This window comes from Homo sapiens, chromosome 21, assembly GCF_000001405.40.
Source record: "Homo sapiens chromosome 21, GRCh38.p14 Primary Assembly".
In the NCBI taxonomy this organism is placed as follows: Eukaryota; Metazoa; Chordata; class Mammalia; order Primates; family Hominidae; genus Homo; species Homo sapiens.
In genome coordinates this window covers 17,331,937-17,350,766 of record NC_000021.9, presented here as the reverse complement: position 1 = coordinate 17,350,766, position 18,830 = coordinate 17,331,937, and the positions used below count along the sequence as shown (strand labels likewise).

General features: G+C 38.7%; 1 annotated feature.

Moving 5' to 3' along the window:
• Positions 7,410-7,610: a silencer, noted in NCBI's record as "peak4348 fragment used in MPRA reporter construct". NCBI's record gives its function as "represses an SCP1 promoter by STARR-seq MPRAs in K562 erythroleukemia cells {active_cell/tissue: K562}" and the evidence as "EXISTENCE:reporter gene assay evidence [ECO:0000049][PMID:32103011]".

Sequence of the window (18,830 nt, the reverse complement as noted above, 5' to 3'; positions counted from 1 at the left end):
TGAACATGTGAATACATTACCTTACATGGCAAAGGAGGCTTTGTGGTTGTGATGAAAGGAACAGATGTCAAAATGGGGGTATTATCTTGGATTATCTATGTGGGCCCAACATAATCGTATGAGTCCTTAAAAGTGGGTAAATTTTCCTGGCTGTGTCGGGGGATGAGATGGAAGGAAGAGAGATTTGAGGCTTTGGAAGGCCTCTGCCCACTATTACTGGTTTTGAAATGGGGAAGGGAGCCCTGAGCTAAGGAATGCCATGGCCTCTAGAAGATGGAAAGTCCTCGCTGACAGCCAGTAAAGAAATAGAGATTTATGTCCTACAACACGAAGAACTGAATTCTGCTGACAATCTGAATGAGCGAGGAAATGAATCCTCCCCTAGAGCCTCCGGAAAGAGACACAGCACTGGATTTTAGTCCAGTGAGACCCATGTTAAATTTCTGACCTCCACAATGGTAAGATAATAAACTTATGCTGTTTTAAGCTGCTAAGTTTGTGGTAGTTTATAAAAGCAGAAATAAAAAAAAATGGCAGCTTTATTTGAAATATGCATAACTATTGAATAAATGAGTTCCGGTAAATTTCCCAATCTAGGTAGGTTTGTACTAAAGTGTTTTTTACACCTTCTAGATAAAGCTGATTTTTAGCTTCCAATGACAAAAAATCGGTCTAATTCTTAAAATATCTATCATTGTTTTGAGTTATAGTTTAAAGATAAAGTTGGAATCATGTTTTCAGTGGTTATTACACATCATTAACAACAATCAATAAGATTGTTCCAGTATACACGATCAACATATAATCAGTAGTGTTCCTATACAACAATAACGTTCTAGCTGAAAAAGAAATCAAGAAGGCAATCCCACTCACCTTAGCTATGAAAAAATATGTAGGGATATATTTAACCAAGGAGGTGAAAGATCTCTACAAAGAAAACTACAAAACACTAATGAATGAAATTGTAGATGACAAAAACAAATGGAGAAACATCCCATGCTCATGAATTGGAAGAATTAATGTAGTTAAAATGACCATACTGCCTAAGGCAATCTACAGACTCAATGGAATCCTATCAAAATGCCAATGTCATTTTCACAGAATCAGGAAAAAAAAATCCTAAAGTTCATATGAAACTAAAAAAGAGCCTGAACAGCCAAAGCAACCCTAAAAAAAAAAAAAAAACCAAACAAAGCTGGAGGCATCACATCACCTGACTTCAAATTACATTACAAGGCTATAGTAACCAAAACACTATGGTACTGGTATGAGAGACACATAGATCAATGAAACAAAATAGCAAACCCAGAAATAAAGCCACATATTTATAGCCAACTGATTTTTAGCAAAGCTGATAAGAACATACATTGGAGAAAGGACATCCTTTTCAATAAATAGTGCTAGGAAAATTGAATATTCATATGCAGATACGTGAAAATAGACTTATCTCTCTCATCATATACAAAAATCAACTCAAGATGGACCAAAGACTTAAATGTAAGATCTGAAACTATAAAAATACTTGAAGGAAACATAGGGAAAATTCTTCTGCTTGTTGGTCTAGGCAAAGTATGACTAAAACCTCAAAATAACAGCCAACAAAATAACAAAATAGACAAACAGGACCTAATTAAACTAAAAAGCATTTGCACAACAAAAGAAACAATCAACAGATTGAACAGACAACCTGTAGAATGGGAGAAAATATTTGCAAACTATGCATCTGACAGACGACTAATATACAGAATATACAAGAAACTCAAACAACTCAACACAAAAAACCCCAAATAATCACATTAAAAAGTGGCAAAGGGCATGAACAGACATTTTTCAAAAGAAGACATACAAATGGCCAACAGGTGTATGAAACAATGCTCAACATCACTAATCACCAGAGAAATGCAAATTAAAATCCCAATGAAATATCATTTTACCCTAGACAGAATGGCTATTACTAAAAAGTCAAAAAATAACAGCACTGGGCATGGTGGCTTACTCCTGTAATCCCAAGACTTTGGGAGGCTGAAGCGGGAGGATCACCTGAGGCCAGGAGTTTGAGACCAGCCTGGTCAACATAGTGAGTCCCTGCCTCTAAAAAAAAAAAAAAAAAAAAAAATGCCAAGCATAGTGGCGTGTGCCTGTAGTCCCAGTTACCCAGGAGGCTGAGGTGGGAAGATTGCTTGAACCCAGGAGTTGGAGGCTGCAGTAAGCTGTGATTACACACTGCATTCCAACCTGGGTGACACAGCAAGACCTTGTCTCAAAAACAAACAATAGATGTTGGCGAGGATGTGGAGAAAAAGGAACTATTATACACTGTTGCTGGCAGTGTAAATTAGTGCAATCTCTATGGAAAACAGTATAAAGATTTCTCAAAAAGCTGAAAATAGAACTACCATTTAATCCCAAAGGAAAAGAAATTAATATGCCAAAAAATACCTGCACTCATATGTTTATCACAACACTGTTCACAGTAGCAAAGATTTGGAATCAACCTAGGTGTTTATCAATGAATTATTGAATAAAGAAAATGTGGTATATATACACACAATGGAATACTGTTCAGCCATTAAAAATAAGGAAATCATGTCTTTTGCAGCAACATGGATGGAACTGGAGATCATTATCCTAAGTGAAACAAGTCAGGCACAGCAAGAAAAATATCACATGTTCTCACTCATATGCAGGAGCCAAGAACTGTATACACATGAGCATAAAGAGTGAAATAATAGACAATGAAGACTTGGAAGGGTGAGGGATTGGGAAGGGAGTGGATGATGAAAAATGACTCAATAGGTACAGCGTATGTTATTCAGGTGATAGATACCCTAAAAGCCTTGACTTGATTACTATGCAATCTATGGATGTAACAAAATTGCTGTCCTACCCCATACATTTATAGAAATGAAATCAGATTATTCCTTTAGCTTCCTCATAACTACTGTAATATGTAAAAGGAGTAATTTACCTTCACCATATCGGTAAAATGATGATCTATATGAACATTAGGTTGGTTGCACATACAGACCCGATGGTTTTCTTGGCTATACTAAGAAGGCTGCCTCGTAAGGTCACTAGATATTTCCTTCAACCAAAGAATAAGAATGCAGCTTAACTTGTCACTCTTTTAATGCATGCGGTATAGTATTGTGGAATGAGCACAGTAGTTGGAGTCAAAACCTTGGTTGAAACTCGCTTTCACTATGTGAAAGAGGACTCAATGAGTATGAATGATAGTTTTCTAATTTGAAATTTTCTAGTTTTCTAATTCGAGATATTGGAATAATATCTACCTTAAAACTTACTCTTAAAGTGGAATGATATTTGTCTACAAATCTTATACTGTCATTATAATGTATAATATACTGTCCAAACACTAAGTACCAACGTGACTTTCCACCAGGAATTGAAGCAGATCCTGTAGTAAAACTACTACAGGAAAAAGAAAGTTGGGTGGAGTGGGTAGGCAAGGTGGAGATAGGAAGAATGAAAGGTGTAAAACTGATGGGAGCAACAGAAGAGGAGCTGGCAGGCCAGGGAACTCAGACAAAGATCTCATTAATCCCAGAGGTGGACAGAGCTGAGCATATCAGTGGCAGTCATCATCAGAGGCCTCTTGGGCAGTGCCAAGGATGGCAGGAACAAGCCAGGGACTGTCGGAAATGCAACTGAACCCTGGGTCTCTAGGTTTCAATGAATGATATTAATAACCACTACTGGAAATCTCCTCGCCTGTGTCCCCACCCAAATAATGCAGTTTCTTCTTGTAGCTGTTTGAACTCTTCAGGTTGAATAGATGGATCCAATTTAAAGAAAAAGAGATATTTTGTATGCAGAAACTGGAATGGCACACAAAACCTCAGAATAGGACAACAGGACTTCCCAGGATGTGGATCTAACTAAAGAATTGGGAGGGAATAAGGGTGTGTGCTTTTGCTTCTTTTCTGGGCTTCTTACTTTACATTATTTTCTCTCTGCATAATTGGTTCCATCATATTTATACTCTGGTAGAAAAAAATTGGTTTCCAACAGCTTTCGAGTTTTAGATAAAAATAGGTTTAGTCATCTAGAGACAGAGGCTGATTGGTTTCTTATTACAATTTTAAAAATCTTTGGGGCAGGAGCTGCCTGTGGCCAAAGCTAGAATAACTTGAGCAACCAAATAAAGTATCATTGAATTATAGCCCAAAGTATAAAATAAATATTTATGAATCCCTGCTAATACAAATAAATGACTAAATAAATAAATGAATGGAGAAGATGAGGAAAATCTCCTGTGCAGAAAAATTTCAAAAAGTTTATGTAGATAGTAGGTCCTTAAGAAGGTGGAACATAACTCCACACTCCTTAAGTGTGGGCTGCACATAGCAACTTCCTTTCAAATTCTACATTATTGAAGGAGGAAAAGAATAACTTTATAGTGAAGAAAGCTGACAAACACTACTTCAGCAAGGTGATCAAAATTAACATCAACAGTGATAATTCATGATGATAGTGGAGTACCTTGATATGATTTGTTGAGAATGACAGTTGATCTCTATAGTCTTTCTTCCCAAAACTCATAACCCCAGTCTAACCATGAAAGAAACGTCAGATAAGTTCCAACTGAGGGACTTTTCAAAAATACCTGATCAATACTTCTCAAAAGCATCAAGGTAATCAAAAAAGGGGTATCTTAATATATAAATATTGGTTAATTAACTATAAGAAGTGTACCATAATAGTGTAAGATATTAATAACAGGAGAAATTAGTTGTGGGTGTAGTGTACACTATCTCCACAGATATTCCATAAATCTAAAATAATTCTAAAATAAATAGCTTATTTTAAAAAATCATTGGAAAGGGAACTGATGAACTCGTCTTGGTCAGATATTCACCTCTGAATTAATCAACTGAGGTCAACAGTGTGATGAGGCAGAGCTCGAGGAACATGGTAACTTATTGAGTCATAGTCATTGTATTAGTCTGTTTTCATACTGCTGATAAAGACAATCCCAAAGAGGTTTCATTGGAATTACAGTTCCACATGGCTGGGGAGGCCTCAGAATCATGGCGAGAGGTGAAAGTCACTTCTTACATGATGGCGGCAAGAGAAAAATGAGGAAGAAGCAAAAGCAGAAATCCCTGATAAACACATCAGATCTTGTGAGACTTCTATCATGAGAATAGAATGGCAAAGACTGGCCCCCATGATTCAATTACCTCCCCCTGGGTCCCTCCCATAACATGTGGGAATTCTGGGAGATAAATTCAAGTTGAGATTTTGGTAGGGACACAGCCAAACCATATTATTCTACCTCTTGCCCCTCCAAATCTCGTGTCCTCACATTTCAAAACCTACCATGCCTTCCTAACAGTACCCCAAAATCTTAACTCATTTCAGCATTAACCCAAAAGTCCACAGTTCAAAGTCCTGTCTGAGACAAGGCAAGTCCTTTCTGCCTATGAGCCTGTAAAATCAAAAGCAAGCTAGTTACTTCCTACATACAATGGGGTACAGGTATTGGGTAAATACAGCCATTCCAAATGGGAGAATTTGGCCAAAACAAAAGGGCTACAGGGCCCATGCAAGTCTAAAATCCAGCAGGGAAATCAAATTTTAAATCTCCAAGATGATCTCCTTTGACTCCAGGTCTCATATCCATGTCACACTGATGCAAGAGGTGGGTTCCCATGGTCTTGGGCAGCTTCATCCCTGTGGCTTTGCAGTGTACAGACTCCCTTTTGGCTGCTTTCACAGGCTGGCATTGAGTGTCTATGGCTTTTCCAGGTTTGTGGTGTAAGCTGTCAGTGGATCTACCATTCTGGGGTCTGGAGGATGGTGGCCCTCTTCTCACAGCTCCACTAGGCAGTGCCCCAGTAGGGACTCTGTGTGGGTCCTCTGACCTCATGTTTCCCTTCTGCATTGCTCTAGCAGAGGTTCTCCATGAGAGCCCTGCCTATGCAGCAAACTGTTGCCTGGGCATCCAGGGGTTTTTATACATCTTCTGAAATCTAGGCAGAGGTTCCCAAACCTCAGTTCTTGACTTCTGCACACCTGCATGCTCAACACCACGTGGAAGCTGCCAAGGCTTGGGGCTTCCACCCTCTGAAGCCACAGCCTGAGCTGCACATTGGCCCCTTTCAGCCATGGCTGGAGCTGCTGGGACACGGGACAAAATCCCTAGGCTGCACACAGCATAGGAACCCTGGGCCTAGCCCACAAAACCACTTTTTTCTCCTAGTCCTCCAGGCCTGTGGTGGGAGAGGCTGCCAGGAAGTTCTCTGACATGGCCTGGAGACATTTTCTCCATAGTCTTGGGGATTAACATTAGGTTCCTTCCTGTTTATGCAAATTTCTGCAGCTAGCTTGAATTTCTCCATAGAAAATGGGTTTTTCTTTTTCTATCACATAGTCAGGCTGCAAATTTTCCAAGCTTTTATGCTCTGCTTCCCTTATAAAACTGAATGCCTTTAACAGCACCCAAGTTACCTCTTGAATGCTTTGCTGTTCAGAAATTTCTTTCACTGGTTACCCTAAATCATCTCTCTCAAGTTCAAAGTTTCACAAATCTCTAGGGCAGGGGCAAAATACCACCAGTCTCTTTGCTAAAACATAACTAGAGTCACCTTTGCTCCAGTTTCCAACAAATTCCTCATCTCCATTTGAGAATACCTCAGCCTGAATTTTATTGTTCATATCACTATCAGCATTTTGGGCAAAGCCCTTCAACAAGTCTCTAGGAAGTTCCAAACTTTCCCACATTTTTCTGTCTTCTTCTGAGTTCTCCAAAATGTTCCAACCTCTGCCTGTTACCCAGTTCCAAAATCGCTTCCACATTTTTGGGTAACTTTTCTGCAGTGCTCTACTCTACTGGTATCAATTTACTGTATTAGTCTGTTTTCATGCTGCTGATGAAGACATACACAAAATTGGGAACAAAAAGAGGTTTCATTGGACTTATAGTTCCACATGGCAGGGGAGGCCTCAGAATCATGGTGGGAGGTGAAAGACAATTCTCACATGGTGGTGCCAAGAGAAAAATGAGGAAGAAGCAAAAGCGACAACCCCTGATAAACCCATCAGATCTCGTGAAACTTATTCACTATCACGAGAATAGCATGGGAAAGACCAGGCCCCATGATTCAATTACCTCTTCCTGGGTCCCTCCTACAACATGTGGGAATTCTGGGAGATACAATTCAAGTTGAGATTTCAGTGAAGACACAGCCAAACTGTATCAGTCATGTTGGGGAGTGTGTGTGTGTATGTTTGTGTAGTGGAGCAGAGATGCTGGTGGAGAAATCCTAGAAAACAGTGCTGGATAGATAATAGATGCCCATCAAATTAGAATTTCTGCTTTACCCCATATCTCATGGTTATTTGAAAGTTCTTGAGATTGTCTTCTGATCTCACAAACAATTATTTTTTTTTCCACTCAAACTCTCTCTCCTCTCTCACTCTGGTTTGATGTCTGTGGCCCTCAGCATGCTAATTGGTGCCCTGAATTACATCGTCACCCAGAGAACTGTCCAAGGTACTGAATCCTGATGGTGCTAAAATATTGCTAGAAAACAATTTGGTAGACACTTTGGAAGACATAAATAAATTAAACAGAAAGTAGAAAATATTTAAAATGCATAATCTAAGAGACGAAAATAAGCTACCAAGAATTCCACAAAGAGATGACAAAGAAAATGATGTAGACAAAATTAGCAAATAAAAAATCCAAGGTGATTTTAACTTGCAATTAAAGACTGCACTGAGTTCCCAGCACAATGAATGAAGACACATTCTTAGACATACTGTGATGATTAATACAGAGTATCAACTTGACTGGACTGAAGGATGCAAAGTATTGATCCTGGGTGTGTCTATGATGGTGCTGCCAAAGGAGATTAACATTTGAGGCAGTGGGTTGGGAAAGGCAGACCCACCCTTAATTTGGGTGGACACCATCTAATCAGCTGTCAGTTTAGCCAGGATATAAAGCAGGCAGAAAAACATAAAAAGGCTAGACTGGTTTAGCCTTCCAGCACATATATTTCTCCTGTGCTGAATGCTTCCTGCCCTTGAACATTGGACTCCAATTTCTTCAGCTTTGGGACTCAGGCTGGCTTCCTTGCTCCTCAGCTTGCAGATGACCTATTGTGGGAGGTTGTGATTGTGTGAGTTATTACTACCTAATAAACTCCCCTTTATATATACACCTATTCTCTCGTTCTGTTCCTCTAGAGAACCCTGACTAATACAGATTTTGATACCAGGAGTGGGGTCCAGAACAGGAGAAGGCTCTGTAACTGGTTCAGGCTGCTGTGCAAGTTGCTCTGCCACTTGGGCCATATGACCCAGCAGATACAATCGTGCTTGAGGTGTCAGTGGCAGATAGGGATACTGTTTGGAGCCTTTGGCAGGCCCCCATAGGTGAATCACAGTGAAGGCCTCTAGGATTTAGGATCAAGGCCCTGCCGTCTCCTGCAGATAACCACTCTCCTTTTGAGAGACAGCTCTTGGCCTGTTACTGGGTTTTGGTGGAAACTGAACATTTGACTATGGGTCATGAAGTCACCATGAGAGCTGAACTGCCTATCGTGAACTGGGTGCTTTCTGACCCGTTTAGCCATAAAATGGGTAGTGCACAGCAGCATTCCATCATCAAATGGAAGTGGTATATATACGTGATCAGGCTCAAGTAGGTCCTGAAGGCAACAAGTAAGTTACATAAGGAAAGTGGCTCAAATGCCCATGGTCTCCACTCCAGCCACCCTGCCTTCTCTCTCCCACCCTGCACTGATGGCCTCATAGGTTGTTGCCCATGATCAGTTGACAAAGGAAGAGAAGACTAGGGCCTGGTTCACACATGGTTTTGCATGATATGTGGGCACCACCTGAAAGTGGACAGCTGCAGCACTACAGCCCCTTTCTAAGACATCCTTGAAGGACAGTGGTGAGAGGAAGTCTTCCCAGTGGGCAGAACTTTAAGCAGTGCACCTGGTTGTGTACCTTGCATGGAAGGAGAAAGGGCCAGATGTGTGATTATATACTGATTCATGGGCTGTAGCCAATGGTTTGGCTGGATGGTCAGGGACTTGAAGGAAGCATGATTGGAAAATTAGTGACAAATAAATTTGGGGAAGATGTATGTGGATGGACCTCTCTGAGTGGTCGAAAACTGTGAAGACATTTATATCCTGTGTGAGTGCTCACCTATAGATGACCTCAGCAGAGGAGAATTTTAATAATCAAATAGATACGATGACCCGTTCTGTGGACAGCAGTCAGCCTCTTTCCTCAGTACCCCTGTCATCACCCAATAGGCCTGTCAAAAAAGTGGCCATGGTGGCAGGATGGAGGTTACTCATGGGCTCAGCAACATGGACTTCCACTCACCAAGGCTGACCTGGCTATGGCCGCAGCTGAGTGCCCAATTTGCCAGTGGCAGAGACCAACACTGAGCCCTCAATATGGCACCATTCATTGGGGTGATCAGCCAGCTACCTGGTGGCAGGTTGATTATATTGGACTTCTTCCATCATGGAAAGGGAAGTGGTTTGACCTCACTGGAATAGATACTTACTCCAGATATGGGTTTGCCTATCCTGCAAGCAATGCTTCTACCAAGACTACCATCCATGGGCTCATGGAATGCCTTATTCACCATCATGGTATTCCACACAGCATTGCCTCTGACAAAGGCACTCACTTTACAGCTAAAGAAGTGCAGCAGTGGGCTCATGCTCATGGAATTCACTTGTCTTACCATGTTCCCATCTTCCTGAAGCAGCTGGATTGATAGAACGGTGGAATGGCCTTTTGAAGTCACAATTATAATGCCAACTAGGTGACAATACTTTGCAGGGCTGAGGCAAAGTTCTCCAGAAAGCTATGTATGCTCTGAGCCAGCATCCATTATATGGTATTTTTTCTCCTATAGCCAGAATTCATGGGCCCAGGAATCAAGGGGTGGAAGTGGTAGTGGCATGACTCACCATCACCCCTAGTGATCCACTAGCAAAATTTTGCTTCCTGTTCCCATGACATTATGTTCTACTGGCCTAGAGGTCTTAGTTCCAGAGAGAGGAACACTGCCATCAGGAGGCACACGAACAATTCCATTAAATTGGAAGTTAAGATTGCCACCTGGACACTTTGGGCTTCTCCTACCTTTAAGTCAACAGTCTAAGGAGAGAGTTACAGTGTTGACTGGGGTGATTGACCCAGACCATTAAGATGAAATCAGTTTAGTACTCCACAACAGAGGTAAGGAAGAGTATGCATGGAATACAGGAGATCCATCAGGGCATCTCTTAGTATTCCCATGTCCTGTGATTAATGTCAATGGGAAACTATAACAGCCCAATACAGGCAGGAATACAAATGGCCCAGAGCCTTCAGGAATGGTTTGGGTCACTCTACCACAAAAAAACCGTGACCTGCTGAGGTGCTTGCTGAAGGCAAAGGAAATACTGAATGGGTAGTAGAAGGTAGTCATCAAATCCAGCGAGGATCATGTGGCCAGTTGCAGAAACAAGGACTGTAATTGTAATGAGTGTTTCCTCCTTCTTTTGTTAAAAACATGTTCGTGCATGTATACACTTGTACTAAGAACATATCTCCATTTCATTTTCTTTTCTCCTTTATTATGTGACATTAGATTTATTGACTTCATATCAGCATTTAAGTATTGTTAACTCTATGTAATAGCATTTTTTTTGGTGATTGGTGGATTTCTGGTTGTACGAAGGACAGTTATATTATGTTAGGCATAATTATACCTTAGTATTGTCTTTATTTGAAGATTATGTATGATCTCAGGAGGTGCGTATGGGTTCAAGTTGACAAGCGGTGGACTTGTAATGGTCAATACTGAGTGCCAACTTGATTGGAGTAAAGGATGCAAAGTATTGATCCTAGGTGTGTCTGTGAAGGTGTGGCTAAAGGAGATTAACATTTGAGTCAGTGGGCTGGTAAAGGCAGGCCCACCCTTAATCTGGGTGGGCACCATCTAATCAGCTGTCAGCTCAGCCAGGATATAAAGGCAGGGAGAAAAAAGTAAAAAGGCTCCACTGGCTTAGCTTCCCATCCTACATCTTTCTCCTGCACTGGATGTTTTCTGCCCTTGAATATTGGACTCCAAGTTCTTCAGCCTTTGGACTCAGACTGGCTTCCCTGTTCCTTGCAGATGGCCTATTGTGGGACCTTTTGATTGTGAGAGTTAATACTACTTAATAAACTCCCCTTTACGTATATATCTATTCTATTCGTTCTGTCCCTCTAGAGAACCCTGACTAATACACATACCATTGTGAAAATTCAGATTGCTAAGGATATAGAGAAGTTTCTAAAATTTTTCTTGAGGAAACAATGTGACCTGCAGAAAAATGGCAAGTCTCATATCACATTTTCCATCAGCAATGTTGAATGTTAGAAGATAGTACAGAATGACATTGGATTTCTAATAAATAATGTAAAAAAAGTCATAAAATATCTTCTGCTCCCTTGCAAGGGAGGTTATTTGAGGTTGGGCTGCATCTAAATGAGGAAGAAAAGGTAAGCAGAAAAAATCTTGGCATCCTGGAGACTGTGGGGCCAATTTGTCTCTAGAAGAGCTACAAAGGGAAACCCCAGAAATACAGCCATGCAGCAGGCCTGGAGGGCAGGCAGTCTAAACAGAGGCATCAAAAGAAATGGTGATTCAGTAAAACTATACTTATTTTTCTAGGCTTTTTCTCCATCCCAGTAGATATAAAATACTAATAAATTTGAAGACAAGACAAAAGGGTGGGAGGAGGAAGAGGATCAGAAAAAAACAACTATTGGATACTAGACTTAGTACCTGGATAATGAAATAATCTGTACAACAAACCCCCATCACATGAGTTTACCTATATAAAAAACCTGCACATGTATCCCTGAACATAATATAAAAGTTAAAAATATCACAACGATCAATCTACACTGCTTTGATCTGCAGAAAACCATGTTTACATTCTTAACGCTCTCAATGACTTTCAAATTAGACTTCAACCTACAGCTAACCCATGGCAGAATTAATTATATATCAATACCCTTAACTTTAGCATTGCAAAAGTTATTATGCAGATGATAAAATTTGCAGGAGAAAAGAACATAGTGATGCTGAAATGAAAACTATGGTCATTAATATCATCATCAAACATGAGAAGAAAGATTATGGATGCAACATCTTTGGGTTTGGCTTAGTATTTGGCCAAAGTATGCACTGGGTTTACTGCTACAAAATATACATTCCCACAGCTTTGAAATAAAAAATAAAGATGTTAATATTTTACTAAAGACACAAAGAAACTACACGGGAACTCAAAATATGGATATAACAACTGGTTGGAAGGAGGCTAGTGGTAAGCCAATGATTCCTCATTTATTATAATAATTAGATTATACCTAAATTTTATAAATCAGAAAACAGCATAAGAAGTATATTATTAAAAGATATGGAAGTAGAAATTGTGTAAAAATGATACGGGGTAGAATAGTTGTTTCTAGGAGATGGACTAACAGATGTAAAAAATGGGAAAAGTGCATGCATTAATTCAACAAAATGGAAAAACAACTCTAAAACAGGTGATGAACTAGCAAAAGTGTATTTGGTGAGGTTAAAGAATTCTGTTAATAGAAGAATCAATTTCCATCATGTTGCATTCATGTGATTCTCTATTGAAGATTCAAACCACTGAAGGACAGTATGTAAGTTCCACCCCAGTGATCAAGTGGGCAAGGTCCTGGAATTATCAGTCTAGCAGCACTGTAATGAGCAGGGGAAGGAAAGTTCAACAGGGAGGTGTTCCTAAGCACACAGAAACAATACCTGTCACTACATCCCATTGCTCGGCTCTTTAGTGTGCTTGCATTCATGTGCGCGCGCACACACACACACACACACACACACTCTTACTATTCTTTTCTCCCTCTTTTATGAACGTTTGTTAGAATGACTATTTAATTTTGAGAATTCTTGTGGTTTATTGTGTTATACCATTTAGTGTTATAGATGAAAGTTTGATGCTTACTGATTTATTTTTCTTGAGTTGCTTTGTTATTTAGAAGCGATTCAAATTTCTTTTTAGCCTTAGAAAATATGTATTTTTCTGGGCTATTTCTACAAATAAGTTTTATTCTCCCAAATAATCTGCCCTGCTTTCAGTTAGTTCTTTTTATCTGAGACTCAAGTTTTTCTTTGGTTCAGGAACAATTAATGTCGTTTTATTTTTGATGAATCTTCTCTTTAGTCTGTTTTTTTTTTAAATTTTGCAACTGTCTTCCATTCCTTGTATATTTTAAAGCATAATTTTAATTTTAAATATTTTCATATTGCTTCTTTGGAGAATTACTTGAATTATTCCCAATATTCTACTTAGTAGCATCTATTTTGCTGTTCTATCACTCTCTTGATATTTTTATTTTAGCAACAATGTTTTATGTTTTCATATAAAATTAGTAATTTTTAGAGAGTTCTCTTAAAATGTCAGTTTATGCATATTTATTTTACTAAAATTTCATTGCATATTAGAAAATCGTTTTCAGTTTCTCAGATTTATTCTCTCAGTGGGGGTCATTTGCTCAGCCTCCTCTTTTGAGCTGGGATTCTTTCTTCTCATAAGTTCAGTAATAGTTCTAATTATCTTCTAATTATTATAAATAAATATCTTGATAATCAGTGTTAGGAACTGGTGTATGTGTTTTATTTTTGGCAAAAATATTCATTAGTAATTATTTTAAAGAGCATATCCTGCTGGGAAGTGAAGGGGGAAGGGGGATAAAGAGAAGTTGATTAAGGGGTATAAAAATACATTTAGATAGAGTAAATAAGTTCTAGTATTTGGAGTACAGTAGGCAAACTATAATTAACAATACTTATTGGATATATATATTTTTATTTTTATTTATTTATTTATTTATTTTTGAGAGGCGCCTCGCTCTGTCACCCAGGCTGGAGTGCAGTGGCACGATCTCGGCTTACTGCAAACTCCACCTCCCGGGTTCAAGCAATTCTCCTGCCTCAGCCTCCCGAGTAGCTGGGACTACAGGAGACTGCCACCAAGCCCGGCTAATTTTTTTTTTTTTTTTGTATTTTAGTAGAGACGGGGTTTCACTGTGTTGCCCAGGCTCGTTGCGAACTCCTGAGCTCAGGTAATCCGCTTGCCTTGGCCTCTATAAGTGTTGGGATTACAGGCGTGAGCCACCTCGCCCTAGAAGAGAAGATTTGTAATGTTCCCAACACAAACAAAAGATACATGTTTGAGGTGATGGATATCTATGTTACCCTGATTTGATTATTGCACATTGTGTAAGGGTATCAAAATATCACTTGTACCCCCAAAATATATACAACTAATATATATCAATAAAATACACAAAGAGTATATTTTGACTATGAATACAGAAAAAGCATTACAATAATAGATAATTAGACATACTTCACATTTTTAAAAACACAGTCATTATTTGAAATGATTCAAGACAGAAAAAACGTACATTCATCTGACTATTGACATTTTGTTTTTTGGTTTTAAGTTTGTTAGATTAAATAAAAATCCAAAAATATCCAAGCACAGTTTGTCACTTAGAAAATAAAAACCATGGCCGGGCGCGGTGGCTCATGCCTGTAATCCCTACACTTTGGGAGGCTGAGGTAGGTTGGTCACCTGAGGTCAGGAGTTCGAGGCCAGCCTGGCCAACATGATGAAACCCCGTTTCTACTAAAAATACAAAAAATTAGCTGAGTGTGGTGGTGTGTGCCTGTAATCCCAGCTACTCAGGAGGCTGAGGTAGGAGAATCCCTTGACGCCGGGAGGTGGAGGTTTCAGTGAACTGAGATTGCGCCACTGTACTCCAGCCTGGGCAACAAGAGCAAAACTCCATCTCAAAAAAAAAAAAAAAAAAAAAAGAAAGAGAAAAAGAAAAGAAAAACCATAACTAAAGCCTGTAAGACTGCTGGAATATAATATTGAATAAGAATTAGATGAATTTTATTTTAAATATTTAGAATTAAAAATTTTGATCATTTATTGTAAATTGAAGATTGTGGAAAAAAAACTTGACCTAATAAAGTACTTAAAAACTTGGAAAATAAACTTTAAGAGAAGAGACATGGTAGTACAATGCAGGTTTCCTCAACCTGTATCTCTTAGACCATTGAAGCACTTTATGTTACAGCAATTTGTGTAGACATAAGATTCGGTTCAGGTACCTTTTTCAGTAATTGTTTATTTGCTCTTAGGAGAGTTATTTAAGCACTCTACATCTCATGTTTTCTAATCTCTAAAATGACACCAATCAAATTTTCAAATCCATATAAAATTCAGGCCTCATGATGAGATGAGCAAAGGATGTGACAAAAACCTAGCACAATGTGGTGAGGACTGTGGTAAAGACGAGAACAAAGGTATCATCAACTACCTGGCTCCAGCCCATAATTACTACAAGAGAACACCAGTCTAGTATTGCCAGATCTTCAGATATTGATGTGCAATATTTGAAAATGTGGTGGATAATTCCAAATGTTTAGAAATATTGTGTGTGCTGAACAATACATGTCTGCAAACCAGATCCACCCTATAGATGAGCCATTTTAATCCCTGGATTAGCTGTTCTTTAATCAATCCTCAAATACTGACATTTTGTGATTCTATAGGAACATAGAACAGTTAAGAATATTAAGTCAGGGCCACCTATTAACAACTTTGGTATATTGTTGCTGCCCGAATAACATATTGTATTTTTATATAGAAAAAGTCCATTTGTTTTTGAATTATTATTAAGGTATAAGAACTATTTTCAGTTATTGGGAAAGAAAAAGGACTTTGAAGACTCTAGTCTATCTATGAGAAAGCTTTTAGGAGACCTGTAAGTAGAGCTTTTATGAAATGTTAATGTACAAGAGTGGTAGGTGGTTAGGAATCAACACTATACACTCCAGTGGGGTAGTAGCAGGACTAGATTTATGGGAGTCAACTCAATCACCAAGAGTATTACTAAAATGATAGTAAAAGCCCATATGAGGATCCAGTTATCAGTCAATGACCTGATCTAGGAGTTAAAAGCTTATATGGATCTCATGGAAGCCTGCCAATACTTGTCCTCATAATACATGATAAAACCCTGGCAGTAAACTACTCCCGGGAGTTTGGCATTAAATTAGAGAGGCGGCAGCTCCCTTTTTGGCTGTTTTCAGATATCCAGGCACAGTCTTCTAATACACTCTGCTAATTTAGAAGCCAGAAAACGTAAGTTCTATTTCAATATTTCTCCAACACTTCATCTCTCCTCTCTCTGCTGTTACATAATTCAGAGATATGAAAATATTAATGTGTGATATGCTCATTCAGTGTGCTACAACTTTCTATAATTAATGTCACACACTTATAGTTTGAAGAGACGCCTAAGAAAGACAATCTCATTCTTTCTAGGAAATATGTATATAAGTACTTGTGCTTTAGTCAGAGGTAGTTTTTGTTCCTAAAACTTAGAAATCTGGCCAGTCTAACTTGTGTGTAATAAGGAGACAATGTTATTTTTCAAATAGCAGTCACCAGAATTCTTTTTGCATAGAAGTGTCTTTATTTAGGAAAATAATTATCTTTGTAATAGAAGAGGTAGAATTTGGTGTGCCCAAGGCAATGGGAAAGCGGGGGTATGAGGGGCAGAGTGGGAAGAGGAAGAGAAAGGACAGTAGAAGATTGAAATTGCATAATGTGAATCCACCCCAAATCTTTAGGAACATCTGATAAACTCACAAATTGTTTTTAATTAAAATTTAAATTAAAATTTAATTAAAATTTTAATGTTTTCAAATGATATTATATATGGTGTATATATAGAATATAGTATATATATAGTATACGTATACTATACGTATACTATATATAATAGCACAAAATATATCGCACTATACATGTATACTATATATATACTATATATATATATATATATAATAGCACAAAATATATCACACAAAATATTTACCACATTAACTAAATTTAAGTATATAGTTCGGTGGCATTAGATTCCTTCATATTGTGGTGCAGCCATCACCACCATCCATCTCCAGAATTTTTGTTTTCCAAACTGAAACTCCATACCCATTATCTCTCCACTTTCCCCTCCCCACAGCCATTGTAAACTACTATTCTACTTTCTATCTCTATGAATGTGACAACTTTAGGCACCCCATATAAGTGAAATCATACAATATGTCCTTTGTGACAAATTCTTTTTTTATTTATTTTTTATTTATTTATTTATTATACTTTAAGTTTTAGGGTACATGTGCACATTGTGCAGGTTAGTTACATATGTATACATGTGCCATGCTGGTGCGGCTGCACCCACCAACTCGTCATCTAGCATTAGGTATATCTCCCAATGCTATCCCTCCCCCCTCCCCCCACCCCACCACAGTCCCCAGAGTATGATATTCCCCTTCCTGTGTCCATGTGATCTCATTGTTCAATTCCCACCTATGAGTGAGAATATGCAGTGTTTGGTTTTTTGTTCTTGCGATAGCTTACTGAGAATGATGATTTCCAATTTCATCCATGTACCTACAAAGGACATGAACTCATCATTTTTTATGGCTGCATAGGATTCCATGGTGTATATGTGACACATTTTCTTAATCCAGTCTATCATTGTTGGACATTTGGGTTGGTTCCAAGTCTTTGCTATCGTGAATAATGCCGCAATAAACATACGTGTGCAGGTGTCTTTATAGCAGCATGATTTATAGTCCTTTGGGTATATACCCAGTAATGGGATGGCTGGGTCAAATGGTATTTCTAGTTCTAGATCCCTGAGGAATCGCCACACTGACTTCCACAATGGTTGAACTAGTTTACAGTCCCACCAACAGTGTAAAAGTGTTCCTATTTCTCCACATCCTCTCCAGCACCTGTTGTTTCCTGACTTTTTAATGATCGCCATTCTAACTGGTGTGAGATGATATCTCATAGTGGTTTTGATTTGCATTTCTCTGATGGCCAGTGATGATGAGCATTTTTTCATGTGTTTTTTGGCTGCATAAATGTCTTCTTTTGAGAAGTGTCTGTTCATGTCCTTTGCCCACTTTTTGATGGGGTTGTTTTTTTTTTCTTGTGAATTTGTTTGAGTTCATTGTAGATTCTGGATATTAGCCCTTTGTCAGATGAGTAGGTTGCGAAAATTTTCTCCCATTTTGTAGGTTGCCTGTTCACTCTGATGGTAGTTTCTTTTGCTGTGCAGAAGCTCTTTAGTTTAATTAGATCCCATTTGTCAATTTTGGCTTTTGTTGCCATTGCTTTTGGTGTTTTAGACATGAAGTCCTTGCCCATGCCTATGTCCTGAATGGTAATGCCTAGGTTTTCTTCTAGGGTTTTTATGGTTTTAGGTCTAACGTTTAAGTCTTTAATCCATCTTGAATTGATTTTTGTATAAGGTGTAAGGAAGGGATCCAGTTTCAGCTTTCTCCATATGGCTAGCCAGTTTTCCCAGCACCATTTATTAAATAGGGAATCCTTTCTCCATTGCTTGTTTTTCTCAGGTTTGTCAAGGATCAGATAGTTGTAGATATGCTGGGTTATTTCTGAGGGCTCTGTTCTGTTCCATTGATCTATATCTCTGTTTTGGTACCAGTACCATGCTGTTTTGGTTACTGTAGCCTTGTAGTGTAGTTTGAAGTCAGGTAGTGTGATGCCTCCAGCTTTGTTCTTTTGGCTTAGGATTGCCTTGGCGATCTGGGCTCTTTTTTGGTTCCATATGAACTTTAAAGTAGTTTTTTCCAATTCTGTGAAGACAGTCATTGGTAGCTTGAGGGGGATGGCATTGAATCTGTA